The sequence below is a fragment of the Homo sapiens genome, chromosome 7, assembly GCF_000001405.40.
Source record: "Homo sapiens chromosome 7, GRCh38.p14 Primary Assembly".
NCBI classification, from domain to species: domain Eukaryota; kingdom Metazoa; phylum Chordata; class Mammalia; order Primates; family Hominidae; genus Homo; species Homo sapiens.
In genome coordinates this window covers 29,948,668-29,962,222 of record NC_000007.14, presented here as the reverse complement: position 1 = coordinate 29,962,222, position 13,555 = coordinate 29,948,668, and the positions used below count along the sequence as shown (strand labels likewise).

The following is a 13,555-nucleotide window of genomic DNA, read 5'->3' as shown; positions in this document are numbered from 1 at the left end:
TTATATTTAATAATTGTATAATTTAATTATATGTAAATAATTATATTATTTAATAATTACAGTGTTTAATAATTATATGAAACTAATTATATACTAGGTGGTTATATTCTCAGAAAATGATTTCCTGGGACCTCAACACTCTCAAGTATGAGGTTTCTAGGGCAACCTCTGGACACATGCAAAAACCATGGAAAAAGTCGTGTGGACTCCTCATTCATCCACTCACCCACCTGCCAACTGATCCCCCTTTCCAGGCGGTTCTCCCTTCAACTTGTCCACTTAGCCTCTCTCCATCTTCTTGTCAGTCAGTCCCATCCAGCCATCATCTCCATATGTCAAGTTCACTGTATTTAAGACTAGAAGAGTAAGAAATAAGATCCTCCAGTGGGGGGGTCAGCCCCCCGCCCGGCCAGCCGCTCCGTCCGGGAGGGAGGTGGGGGGGTCAGCCCCCTGCCCGGCCAGCCGCCCCATCCGGGAGGTGAGGGGCGCCTCTGCCCGGCGGCCCCTACTGGGAAGTGAAGAGCCCCTCTGCCCGGCCAGCCGCCCCGTCCGGGAGGTGAGGGGCGCCTCTGCCCGGCCGCCCCTACTGGGAAGTGAGGAGCCCCTCTGCCCGGCCACCACCCCGTCTGGGAGGTGTGCCCAACAGCTCACTGAGAACGGGCCAGGATGACAATGGCGGCTTTGTGGAATAGAAAGGCGGGAAAGGTGGGGAAAAGATTGAGAAATCGGATGGTTGCCGTGTCTGTGTAGAAAGAAGTAGACATGGGAGACTTTTCATTTTGTTCTGCACTAAGAAAAATTCTTCTGCCTTGGGATCCTGTTGATCTGTGACCTTACCCCCAACCCTGTGCTCTCTGAAACATGTGCTGTGTCCACTCAGGGTTAAATGGATTAAGGGCGGTGCAAGATGTGCTTTGTTAAACAGATGCTTGAAGGCAGCATGCTCGTTAAGAGTCATCACCACTCCCTAATCTCAAGTAATCAGGGACACAAACACCGCGGAAGGCCGCAGGGTCCTCTGCCTAGGAAAACCAGAGACCTTTGTTCACTTGTTTATCTGCTGACCTTCCCTCCACTATTGTCCCATGACCCTGCCAAATCCCCCTCTGTGAGAAACACCCAAGAATTATCAATAAAAAAATAAATTAAAAAAAAAAAAAAAAAGAAATAAGATCCTCCAGCACAGAGTTCCTCAGTTTCCAAAATTACACTGGATTTTTTCTTTCAGCTGCAGTTTGCGATTGGAACATCCCAATTTTATATTCTTTAGTATTTCCCTTGTGTATTCAGGGCTTTTAACAACATCTCTTTTGGTTGCAGAGTAGGATGGATAAATAGGTATCAATATTTATAATACCTATTGATAAATAGGTATCCTCTCTGAGGATGCATCAGAGAACTCATCTCAACTTTACCCCAAATCCTGCCCTCCCTCTAGGTAGGCGTGTTGAGGAAGCAGAGGAATAACTTCCTGGATTATGGTGTGTGGATGTGTGTGTGTGTGGATGTGTGTGTGTGTATGCATGCATGCTCATGGATGGTACAGGTCCATTCTTACATGGTTGAACCTTCTATTTAGGAAAAAAATGGATCCAACATTAGACTACTTTTCCAGAAAAACAGTGGATTTTGGCTAAGGTTTACATTACTTATACTTGGTGTCCAAGAGGCTAATTATACCAGAATTTACAGAGACAGAATTCTTGATAACAAAGTTAGATTTGACACATAATATTTTTTAAAAGAGTCTTTCTTTGGTAATAAATATTGTCTCCATTATTTCCTTTCTTAAAGTCTTTATCATTTCCTCATTTTTTTTTTCAAATTAGCTTAAATTTTTGTCTGTTTTCCACTACATGAAATACCGTATGGATTCACTGTCGTCAATGAGTTTATATAACTTTCATGATTTGGGGGAGGCTTTTGGTAGATTATTTCCCCTTTCTTTATCATTGAAAATATTTACAAGAAGAATAGAAAATTACCAGTTAATGATGGCTGGTAGCATTGTTAGTAAAATTGTCCAGATGGAGGCTATATTTGTGATGTGTGGGGTGTGTGTATGTTGCGGGAGTCGGGGGAGCTGAATTTTAATTCTGAAAGTTATTTCTTACAATAGGAAAGTACAAGTCATTCTGGAATCAGAGAGAGCTGAGCAAAGCTCCATGACCACTGGACAGATTTCCTCCCTCCCTCCCTCCCTCCCTCCCTCCCTTCCTTCCTTCCTTTCCTTCCTTTCTTCCTTCCCTCCCTCCTCCCTCCCTCCCCCCACTTTCTTTCTTTCTTCCTTTCTTTCTTTTTTTGTTTTCTTCTAGTCAGCTCCAGAATCAGGAGTCCCCAGTCTTGTATGGAGTCAGAAGTGTCTCCCTCACTTCCAAGAGAACATGGCTTAGCAGAGGGCTTCCTTCCATAATGTCCCCTTTCCCAGATGCATTTCTGATCTCAGACCTTTGCATTGTTCCTCCCCAAAGATCTTATGCTTCAGTGAAATAAAAAACAGTTCTTCTAAAGTGTGGTTGAGGATGTTGCCCTCTGATCTCAGCACCTTCTTTTGTCTTTATTTAAACTTATATGAACCTTAAGAATACATTTCCTAAAACCAGTCAAATAGCAGGCAAGACACTGGGGTAAAAAAATAAAATAAAAACAAACATGGAGGGCATGGTGGCACACACCTCTAGTCCCAGCTACTTGGGAGGCTAAGAGGGGAGGATCGCTTGAGCCCAGGTATTGGGAGGACAGCCTAGGCAACATAGTAAGACACCATCTCTAAAACAAACAAACAAAATACACACATACACACACACACATATATAATTTTAAATAAATAAAAAACCCTCAGTGATAGTTATTAATGCTTCTTTAGAGCTACAAAGTTTTAAAAGCTAAAAACATCTCTCCAAAGCATCCCATTTTCTTTGCCATCTTCTCCCACCGTAAGAAGTTTGGCTGACTCATCAACTCATCTCACAATGGTTTTTGCTGGTGGTGCCAGGGTTGTGTTCACCATCTTGAGTACAGTACGAAAGGCACAATGGTTGTGTTTCATTAATTGAAACGTCTATTGTGTGAGTGTCTCTGTTTCCCCTTTCACTGGGTCATATCCAGAAATAGTGTGTGCTGGAATGTGGATGGGGTGAAGTGACGGCATGAAGCTGATCTTTCTTTTCATTTTCGACGTAATCTCACAAAATAATGAAGGGCTTGCTCTGTGGAATTGTTTTTGTCTTTGGCTCTAGGTTCTTTTCGAGGCTCATGTTTTCTATCCTCCAACCTAACCTGGCAGGTGGTCCCTGAGAGAGTGGCAAGCTCAGGACAGGCGGATCCTTGGAAACCCCCTGATTAGCACTGGGCAGTGCTGACATTTAGAAGAATGCTTGCCCACACTCCAGCTCTGGGCATTCTTATATTGTTATGTGACTTGGGCACCCAGAAGTCACACTAGCTGACAGATTTATTTTATGAAAGGCTGGGTGGGAGTGGCCATGGGGCAGAAAGACCAATTGCTCATCTCTTTCCACAGTTCACTTTAATAACCAAAGGTGAGACCAGCACCGTCTCTGTAAAGATCCATCTTTTAAGTGGTGAACACTTGCCTTTTTTCTTTTTCTTTTCTAATAGAAATTAAGCTAGGAATTTTGACTTGGGGAACTAAATTGTTTTTGCCACACTGAAAGAAGATGTCAGGTGCTTTTTGGATATTTGTACCTAGAGAAACCTCTTTTGCTTCCTCAAATCCCACTTCTCTGGCTCATTAATAATGTGGCAGTTGTAAAGGTGGGTGGATTTTATATTTAAAAGTGGCTGTGGAGTTCATGTTCTAGATGGCTGACTTTACCAAGTTGAGCTAATTAAATTTTGTGTAAGTGTTCCTGATTTTGTGAGATCTGCTCCCAAAGTGGGATTTTAAGTAGCCAGTCTATCTACATGAGACAAGTGTGTTTACCCCTCCCCAACCCCACCTGGTTGTGATTAGCCAGATTTAAAACATAATGGAGCAGGTGTGAATGGCTGTCATAGAAGAGCCCTTATGAGGCCCGTGCTCTGTGGCCCGTGACAAAGATGCAGCAAGGGGCATGTGTTCCAGGCTCGGGGCCTGTGAAGGGATCTGGCTGCCTGGCTTTCGGTCTGGTGCTTAGGAGGGCTGATTGGGCCCATCTGGCTACTTGGGGATCCCCTTCCTTCCTCACCATTCCGAGTTTGGCCTGAAAAACATCAAGTTGGCTGCATATATTTTGAACTCCTGCAAAGACCATCTGGTCTTTTTGATTCAATTGTCAACATTTTTTTAATCAGGCAATCTGTATTAAGCCCTTGTAGTTCTGTGCCTTAATGACATCATGGCAGCTCCCCCACATGGCACAGCAGGGACCTCTCTGGACCATAGAGACCCTTCACATGCCCCTTCCTCTCTTAAGCCCTTAGCTCTGTCTGGAGTACCTTGATGGCTGGCCCATTTTTTAAGGTCAACCCAGATTTCTCCCACGTGATACAGCCTCTAGCGGACCATGCGGATGTGTTTCCTCATTTCTTTGGACTTTTACCTTCTGTGCTCCCTTAGAGCTTTGTAATTTCTCCAGCCATCCATTCAGCCACCGATCCAACAAAAGGCTTATTGATGCCTGATATATACCAGACTTGGGGCATGTCAGTGAACTAAATAACAAAGATATCCCCCTTCCCTCTTGGGGCTTACACTCTAGCTGGGGGAGATAGTATACATAAACAGTACATGTAATAAGTCCATCAGTTCTGTAGTATTTCAGAAGGGGATAAATGGAATGGAACGGCAAAGAGGAAAAGCAGAGCTGGGCTGGGTGGATCAGAAGGGCAAAGCAGGAGGCAGTGGCACGATGCTTCAGGAATGAAGCAGGCAGGCCTGGGAGACACTGAAGCTGGCCTGGGCTCGTAGGAATTTGTGTGCGCGCCTTTGCCTTCCTCCCCAGCCAAAAGGACAGGGCCTGGGCCTCCTCACTGATTTTCTGCTTGCAGCATTTAGCACAAAATGCTTTGCATGTAGTTGGTGTTCTGTAAATAATTGGGGAAATGGAAATGAGTGTGTAAAAATGAATTTGAAGACAAATAAACCATTTCCTAATTTTTACTTTTTTTCTGCCCTTTTAAAAACCTGTATGATAAATCTGTGCTTAAGAAGCTGAGATTCTTTTCCTATTTACTCATTGTTTTCAAGACAAAAGTTGCCACTGGCACTCAGTGCGGACAGGGGTTTTGGAAAGTGTTGGTCAATGCCTGGACTACTTTTTGACATAGAGTGCAATGTTAAGATGTAAACGTCAATTCCATTTAGAAGAGCACAGAGGAGCAGAGTTTGATTACTGCTCTGGCCAGCTTCGTGCTCTACAAGAATCATTTTTTTTTTAAATAAATAACTTTTGGGAACTGCATAGAGGGAAAATCTTGAGTATATTTTATTGTCAGTTTGCCATGAAAAATTCAAGAGTCTCTTGAAAACCTCTGGATATAATTAGTTTTCAGTTTGCAAATATTTATCAAGTAAAATGACATTATCCCAGTGCAGAGCAACACCTTAACATGAATTGTGCAGACCCAAAGTCACCTGACCAGTGAGTGTGTGTGTCACACGGGTTTCAGCTCTTACCTGAGGTTTAGCGATTATGGGAAATCAATACAGAATAGCTTTGTGGGCTGCATTCAGTCGATATAGCTGGGTCTTGAGTTAAAAAAAGAAAGATCTAAGGCTGCTGTTGCTTTCAGCTGCCCCGTTTAAAATGTAAATGATTCCTGCAGCTGATAAAATTCTCCCTTGAGAGCTCCAGAGCACTGTGTAACTTAGAGACTTGAATTCAATACAGCGTCCACCACACAAAGGGTGTGTCATAGGCTCGTAGAATGTCAGAGTCAGGAGGCCCCCATGGGGAAGCTAGTTGCAGGTTCCTCTGCCGTGGGTCACAACGTGGGGAGGGGAAAGGGAAGCACAGGAGGGCGAGACTCTGAGGGTTACCCACATCCTGGTCCCGGGCCTCTTCCTCCCTTTGCCTGGACATACTTTGACTGATTTTATTGTGCTTATGATTCTGTGTAAGAGTTCGTGTGAAGAAGGTGTTCTGAGGTTAAAAATACTTGGGAAGAAATAGTTTGACTCAAATTAGCTCCCCCATTTTCCAGGTAAAGCCACTGCAGCCTGGAGAAGGTAAGATGCACCACTAAGTTGTGTGTTCTGCAGTTCTGACAGCAGCTGGAGATGCACCTCCATGGGACTGTTTCCTTCTGTGTCCACCTCACTGTCTTAGTGTGAGGATCAAATGGGACAGGCAGGAAATCCCACAGTGTAATGCAGTAGTTAAATGCAAATGTTATTATCCTTTTCTGTTTTCTACCACTAGAGCAACCATGTAGGTTATCAAACTGTGTTTCAGGAAACCCAAAGGGTCCTTGCAGGGGGACTCAGGGTTCTGCTTTCTTTAGGCAAAGATCTTCCCTTTTACCTGCTTTCTATCTTAGGCTTCTAGGTGAAGTTTCTTTTGAAGGTAGGGCTCGTAAATAGCTGTGTTCAATATTGGTGAATGCTGGCAGCCGCCTGTGCCTGTTGAAATGGGCAGGCTTAGGATGTTCAGGATGATGATTGGCTGAATACCTGGTTCAAGATGATTGCCCTATTACGTGAGCACCAGGAATAGATTGGCATAAGCCACACAGTCTGAAACTCACCATGGAGACTTTTGAGCTGCATTGTGAAGACTTAAAAATCAGGGTATTCCCAAGGCCTTTTATTTTTTGGCTCTGTTTGTAACTAATATGATGGTTCAGTATAAGTACCCAGGCAGAAATGAGGTGGTACCTGACAGGTGATGGCGCTTTCTTTCCTGTGTTTGTTTTTCAGTGCACTTACATTTCAATCGACCAAGTTCCAAGGACCTATGCCATAATGATAAGCAGACCCGCCTGGCTCTGGGGAGCAGAAATGGGAGCCAATGAACATGGAGTGTGCATAGCCAATGAAGCCATCAACACCAGAGAGCCAGCTGCCGAGATAGAAGCCTTGCTGGGGATGGATCTGGTCAGGTACTGCATGGTGATTCTTTGAAACAACTTCCTAGAAAAGGTTGGAAATGGGGACAGGATTTATTTCTCCCTAAACCTTGCATTTTTTAACATAATCCTTCCAAAGATGATGTGTGCCTTTTGATAGAAACTTTAAGATGATGAGATAAATGAGTGGATTACAATGGAATATTACTTAACAATAAAAAAAAATCAAGTGGCTGGGCATGGTGGCTCATGCCTGTAATCCCAGCACTTTGGGAGGCCGAGGCAGGTGGATCACCTGAGGTCAGGAGTTCGAGACCAGCCTGGCCAACATGGTGAAACCCCGTCTCTACGAAAAATACAAAAATTAGCCGAACGTGGTGCTAGGCGCCTATAATCCCAGCTACTCAGGAGGCTGAGACAGGAGAATTGCTGGAACCTGGAAGACGGAGGTTGCAGTGAGCCGAGATCATGTCATTGCACTCCAGCTGAGGCGACAACAACGAGTCTCCATCAAAAACAAATGAACAAAGAATCAAGTATAGATACATACTAAAGCATAATGATCTTGAAAACATTATACTGAGAGAGAAGCCAGACACAAAAGGTCACATATTGTGATTCTATTTATATGAAATATACAGAATAGGCAAATCCATAGAGGCAGGAAGTTAGATTAGTGGTTGCCTGGGGTTTGGGTGTGGGTGAGAGAATGGGGAGTGATTCCTAATGGGCATGAGCTTTCTTTTGCGGGTGTTGAAAATGTTCTAAACCTTAGATTGTGGTGATGGCTGCACAACTTTGTGAGTACACTAAAAACCACTGAACTGTACAGTTTAAATGGGTGGATTTTATAGTACTTGAAATATATAATATATATATAAAAATATGAAAAATCATAAACTAGAAAAGAAAAATAGAACAGAGATCACTTCCCTCCTTTCCTCTCTATGTCTCAGTTATTTTTTCTTCCTTTTTCCCCTCTCCCAGCCACTACACAGCAGAAGGAACCTGCTGTGCGAGCTGGATAGGGCAGGGATCTTTGTCTGTACACTGCTGTGTCATAAGCACTGGGAACTGTGTGCCTGGCCTGTAATGAGTGATCAATAACTGAATTTTGAATGAATGACTAAAGTAGAAGGTAGGCTGGAACAAAGCAACATTCTGAAATGCCTTTTTTTGTCCCTGAAATAGTGAAATGAAATAAAATCATGACATAGTTGAAAGAAGATTGGGCTGGGAGCTGGAGTTCTTGGCTTTCAGTGTGGATGTACCAAGTTACATCACCTCTCTGGGCCACAGTTTCCTCATTTTTTCAATATGAGGTCTAGATTGGATGACTTCCGAAGAACTCCCAAAGCTAACATCCTAGAAAAAGGAATGGGGTTGGATTTTGGTTTTGTAGGGGGAAATGGCACATTTAGACAGTGGTCTCGGGAACTCACTCCTCTGCCACCTGATGGAGAGGTCTGCGAGGGACACCCTTTTGGTAGCACAGTGACTTCCTGCCTTCCTTACCTTTCCTTACTGTTCCTCATTCTTATAAACTCAGGAGGAGCAGCTTCCCTGAGCTGGGGAAAAGGCAGAAAAAGCCAGTTTTTAAAAACCAGTTATATATAGCTAGTTTTCTCTTGATTAGCAAAATGAAATGTATAGAATAACAAGAAGTTTTTTTTTTTTTAGCTTATGTTTTGACAGCTCTCCAGTATTTTTTACTGTATTTGCAGTATGAGACTTATAGAACAGGCAAAATTACCATTTTAACAGTTGATTTCTAAGGGACAGTGGAAGAGGATTTTTTGCCTTTCTTCAGAGCACCTGATATATCTTTTTAAGATTATCAACCAATAAAGCAACAGGAGTTTACTGAATATCTACTTTGTTCTAGACTCTGTGGGTACATGAAGCAGCTCAAAGCTTCAAAGGGATTTTAGTCTGGTTGCAGGAAGAAGAAAATTGAGCAATGGAAATTTTAAGAATAATATAAGAAGATAGTAGGAGAGAGGTAACTCAAAGTGATCTGAGATTTGATGCCACGTGAATGGCACAGAATTCCAGGGTGTGGCCTTCAGCAAACACTGCGGGATGTTCACAGATTATCACAGACTGGTCATATTTGGGAATGCTTTGAGGGGCAGGTTCATTTGACCTGAAGCTGCAAGGCTGAGGGAGGTAGACACAGAAGATATGTTTGTCACAGACTTGGCATTGTGATAATTAGCAAGGTCAGGAGTAGATGACAGGGTGAGAGTTTAACCTTCACCATATAACGTTAACTCCATCTTGGGCTAGCCATGTCCAGCTATTGTAATAAAAAGGGTGTGAAGAGCACTGGTAGGTTCTTCAGGGTGGGGATGGAGTCACAGGCATCTGCACCTTAAGTGGATCTTTTGAGTTCATCTTTAAAGCAGCTATGATCAGTTCAGCCAAGCATAGCCAGATTTTGAAGGGTCATTTCATACCAACCAAATCCTAAAAGTAACTCATGCTCATTACCCAGCATTCTCTCTCTCTCTCTCTTTTTTTTTTTTAGACAAGTCTTGCTCTGTTTCCTAGGAGTGCAGTGGTATGATCTCGGCTGATTGCAACCTCCGCCTCCCAGGTTCAAGCGATTCTCCTGCCTCAGCCTCCTGAGTAGATGGGATTACAGGTGTATGCCACCACACCCAGCTAATTTTTGTATTTTTAGTAGGGACGGGGTTTCACCATGTTGACCAGGCTGGTCTCGAACTTCTGACCTCAAGTGATCCGCCTGCCTCAGCCTCTCAGAGTGCTGGGATTACAGGCGTGGACCACCACATCCCACCCCAGATTTCCTTTTTAATGATTTAATTCTAGTATTAATTTTTAAGAAGCTCCAGATGATATTGATACTACAAGTCAAAAAACCACAGTTTGAGTGGCAAGTTCTAGAGTAGTGGTTCTCAAAGTATGGCTGGTGAACAAGCATCACCTGGGAACTTGCTAGAAATGTAAATTGTCGGTCCCTATTTCACACCCAGGGGCCAGCAACCTGTTTTAACAAGTTCTCCAGCTGGTGCTGATGCACGGTTACGGTGAGAACCGCTGCTCCACAGGAAACTTTCTATCAGTTGGTTTCATTCTCTTAATTTGGGGCTCAGTGCCTCCCTAGGTATTGCTGTGTGAGGAACCACTACTTTCTCTGGCCTTGCTTGCACTCTGTGTCTAGTGCCAGTTCCTCCCTGGACAGCTTCTATGAGAGCAGGCTATGTCCATTTCACATGCTCTTTCAAGGGCCTGCTAGACTGTGGTTGATTATTCAATGAATACAGTAGTTGCCCCTATACTTATCCTGGTACTTTGCACTTTCCAGCAGCATGTGAAATCCAACCTCAGTTCAAAGAGACATAAGGGAATGACAGTAGCAATGTAATAGGCACTGATTTTAAGATAAAGGTATAATTTGTGTATGTTTCCTAGAGGCTTGTGGGAATGTAAGCATTAGGCAATATTGTTTTTATAATGCGTTTTCAGTGACATTTATCTCAAAGCTAAGCTTCATCTGTTATTTTTGATTCACTGTTCTCTGACCACTAGTCCCTTTCTCCTGAGGAAGAGGCATATAAAGACACGTACACATTTTTGCATGTTTCATGAAGTTGGTTCCAAGTAATGAGTAGCCAATAGAAGCTAACATAAAAGTGGGAATTTGGCCAGGTGCAGTGGCTCATGCCTGTAATCCCAGTGTCACACGATCCTTACGGTGTTGCTTTTCCAGCCGGAAACCTCTGTGGCTGGTGGCACCTTTGCCTGAGTTTTGGTCGGGCTGCTGGGCTTGTTCCACCACTTGGCCCTGCACACTGTACTCAGCTTATGCTACTGGCCTGGATCCCATGCCTTCCAAGCACAAGCCAGGCGCAGAGAGGAAAGGGGTGTGTGAGCAAGCATGGGGTCCAGCCACTGCACACAGCCAGGTGTGCCAGCTGTGGCGGGATGGGCAGCTCTAGGCGTTGGCACAGGCACTAGCTCTGTGCGAGGCTGCAGCTGGACCAGGCGTACTGCAAATGGCTTCCACTGCAGTCACCAAGAAACGTGGTGCCTGGAAGCTTGGAAATGCCAGGAACTGCAGAGCCCCAAAGAGAGTGTCACAGTCCTGGCTCAGGGAGCCCCTAGGTCTGGACTCCCCAAAGGGCTGCAGCTCTTCTCTCCTTTTCATCACCTGCAATTTTGCAAATGGTGGGGGCTGGGGGTGTGCTTCAGCACTGTTTGTGTTATAGCTCTTTCAGTCCCACCATTTGGCGGGTCCCAAGCTCTTGTCCCATGTTCAGGAAGAGTGAGATACATGGACAGCTGGAGAGTGAGCAAGGTGGTGAGGAGCTTCATTGAGTGACAGAACAGCTCTCAGGGGACCCAAAGTGGGTAGCTCCATTCTGCAGGCAGGTCATCCTGACGAGTATCCAGCTCTCAGCAGAGAGGAGACCTGTAGTGGGTAGCTCCCTTCTGCTGCAGGCAGGTCATCCCAACGAGTCAAGGAGGCCCAAACTTGGTAGCTCCTTCCTGCAGCTGGTAGTCCTAACGTCTGTGTGAGTCTGACTGAGTCTGGGGTTTTTATGGGCTCAGAAGGGAGGAAGTGTGTGCTGATCGGGTCATGGGCAAGCCTGGAAAAAGCACCATAAGTTCTCACTCTGGGCTGCGTACTCCACCCGGAACTAGCAGACCAGCCTCCGGGCTTCCGGCCATTCCTGGCTTGAAGGTGGGGTTTCACTGGGGACCTGCTCCTTTCCGCCCAGGAAACTGTCTGCCTCCTGCCATCAACGTGCCATCCATGATGTCCAGGTTTTTCATCTTGGGGGGCACTGGCAGGCCCACACTGAGCTGCCCTCAGCCCTCCCAGCCTCCCTCCTGTGCTCATTGATGCCCAAAGTCTGGAGAAGCCCGAGGCGGCAGGGGGCTGGTGTGTCAGCACCACCCTAAGCATGTGCACACCCAGCCAGGTTGCAATAGCACCTGGGCTCAGCCACAACTTTGCTCTGCACTGGAGCAGGTGCTGGGAAGCGGGAAGAGGTCAGGGAGCAGGAAGCAGGCACTTCCAAGCCTGTAGGGGCAAGGGCTTCCTGGGCTCCTGAGAGTGCAGGGATGCCCAGGTCCAGAGCAGCTGCAGCTGTGCCTGGGAGCATGGGGCTCCCACCCTGCCAACTTGGTAGGGGGTGGGGCTCCCACCAGCCTCGCAAAGCACGCAACCCAGACCCTGCCTCCCTGTTGCAGCCGGCATCTTCACAGTGGCTCCTCCAGATGGGCCACCACTGCTATCACCACTTTAGGAGGCGAGTCATGAGGATCACTTGAGCCCAGGAGTTCAAGACCAGCCTGGGCAACATGGCAAAAGCCTGTTTCTACAAAACAAATGCAAATTGTAGCTGGTTGCACTGTTGCATGCTTGTGGTCCCAACTACTTGAGAGACTGAGGCGGGAAGATTGCTGAGTCCAAGAGGTCAGGGCTGCAGTGAACCATGATTGCACTACTGCACTCCAGCCTGGGTAACAGATCGAGACCCTGTCTGAAAGAAGGAAAAAAGGGCCTGATGTGGTGGGTTATGCCCCATAATCTTAGCACTCTGGGAGGCCGAGGCAGGAGGATTGCTTGAGCCCAGGAGTTAAAGACCAGCCTGGGCAACATGGTAAAACTCTGTATCTACAAAATATACAAAATTAACCCAGTATAGTGGCCCACGCCTGTGGTCCCAGCTACTTGGGAGGCTGAGGTGGGAGGTTTGCTTGAACCCAGGTGGGGAGGTTGCAGTGAGCTGAGATCATGCCACTGCACTCCAGCCTGGGTCACAGAACGAGATCCTGTCTCAAAAAAAAAAAAAAAAGAGTGAAGGAAAGAAAGGGGAAATTACTTTCTGGTTGTTAGGGTGCCCTTTTTTTTTTTCTTTTTTTAGACGGAGTCTTGCTCTGTCACCCAGGCTGGAGTGCAGTGGCACCATCTCGGCTCACTGCAACCTCCGCCTCCTGGGTTCACGCCATTCTCCTGCCTCAGCCTCCCGAGTAGCTGGGACTATAGGCGCCTGCCACCATGCCCGGCTAATTTTTTGTATTTTTAGTAGAGACAGGATTTCACCATGTTAGCCAGGATGGTCATGATCTCCTGACCTCGTGATCCGCCTGCCTCAGCCTCCCAAAGTGCTAGGATTACAGGTGTGAGCCACCGCTCCTGTCCTAGGGTGCCACTTATAATCCAAGGTCTGTCAGACATGATAATGCCTCTGGGCCTCAACATGGATGAGAACTATGAAGCGTTTGGAACCTCTTTGTCAGAAGTATGCTGGTAAATGTTTAATAACCAGCCTGGTGGAGGGAAGGGGCAGCGCTGTTTGAGTCCTTTTTCAATTTCCATGGTGTAAATACTCCCACTGTGAGGGGTTTCAAGCTACCAACAGTTTCAGAACTGGCTCAAAATCCCTAAAATTTAACCATCTGCTCTCCAAGCTGGTAGCAGCTGGCTCCAGCAGATTGCTGCATTCTTTCAGTGTTTCTTGCCTCTTCTTCCCTTTGCATAACTACTTTATTCTTTTTTTTCCTGCAT

The 13,555-nt window shown here is 45.7% G+C and overlaps 1 protein-coding gene across 5 annotated transcripts in view, besides 1 other annotated feature; it reads left to right on the top strand.

The window, feature by feature from the left end:
• The window catches only part of SCRN1 (secernin 1), a 70,187-nt gene that overhangs the window by 28,067 nt on the left and 28,565 nt on the right, over window positions 1–13,555 (top strand). For all 5 annotated transcript variants that reach the window (NM_001145514.1, NM_001145513.1, XM_047421085.1 and 2 more), the window contains one exon: window positions 6,863–7,044. In NM_001145514.1, the coding sequence (NP_001138986.1) occupies window positions 6,863–7,044 (182 nt within the window). The remainder of the gene's footprint in view (window positions 1–6,862; window positions 7,045–13,555) is intronic.
• Window positions 769–1,558: an enhancer, noted in NCBI's record as "NANOG-H3K27ac hESC enhancer chr7:30000281-30001070 (GRCh37/hg19 assembly coordinates)". NCBI's record gives its function as "activates a minimal SCP1, AML or CMV promoter by ChIP-STARR-seq in primed H9 embryonic stem cells {active_cell/tissue: H9 hESC(primed)}" and the evidence as "EXISTENCE:reporter gene assay evidence [ECO:0000049][PMID:30033119]".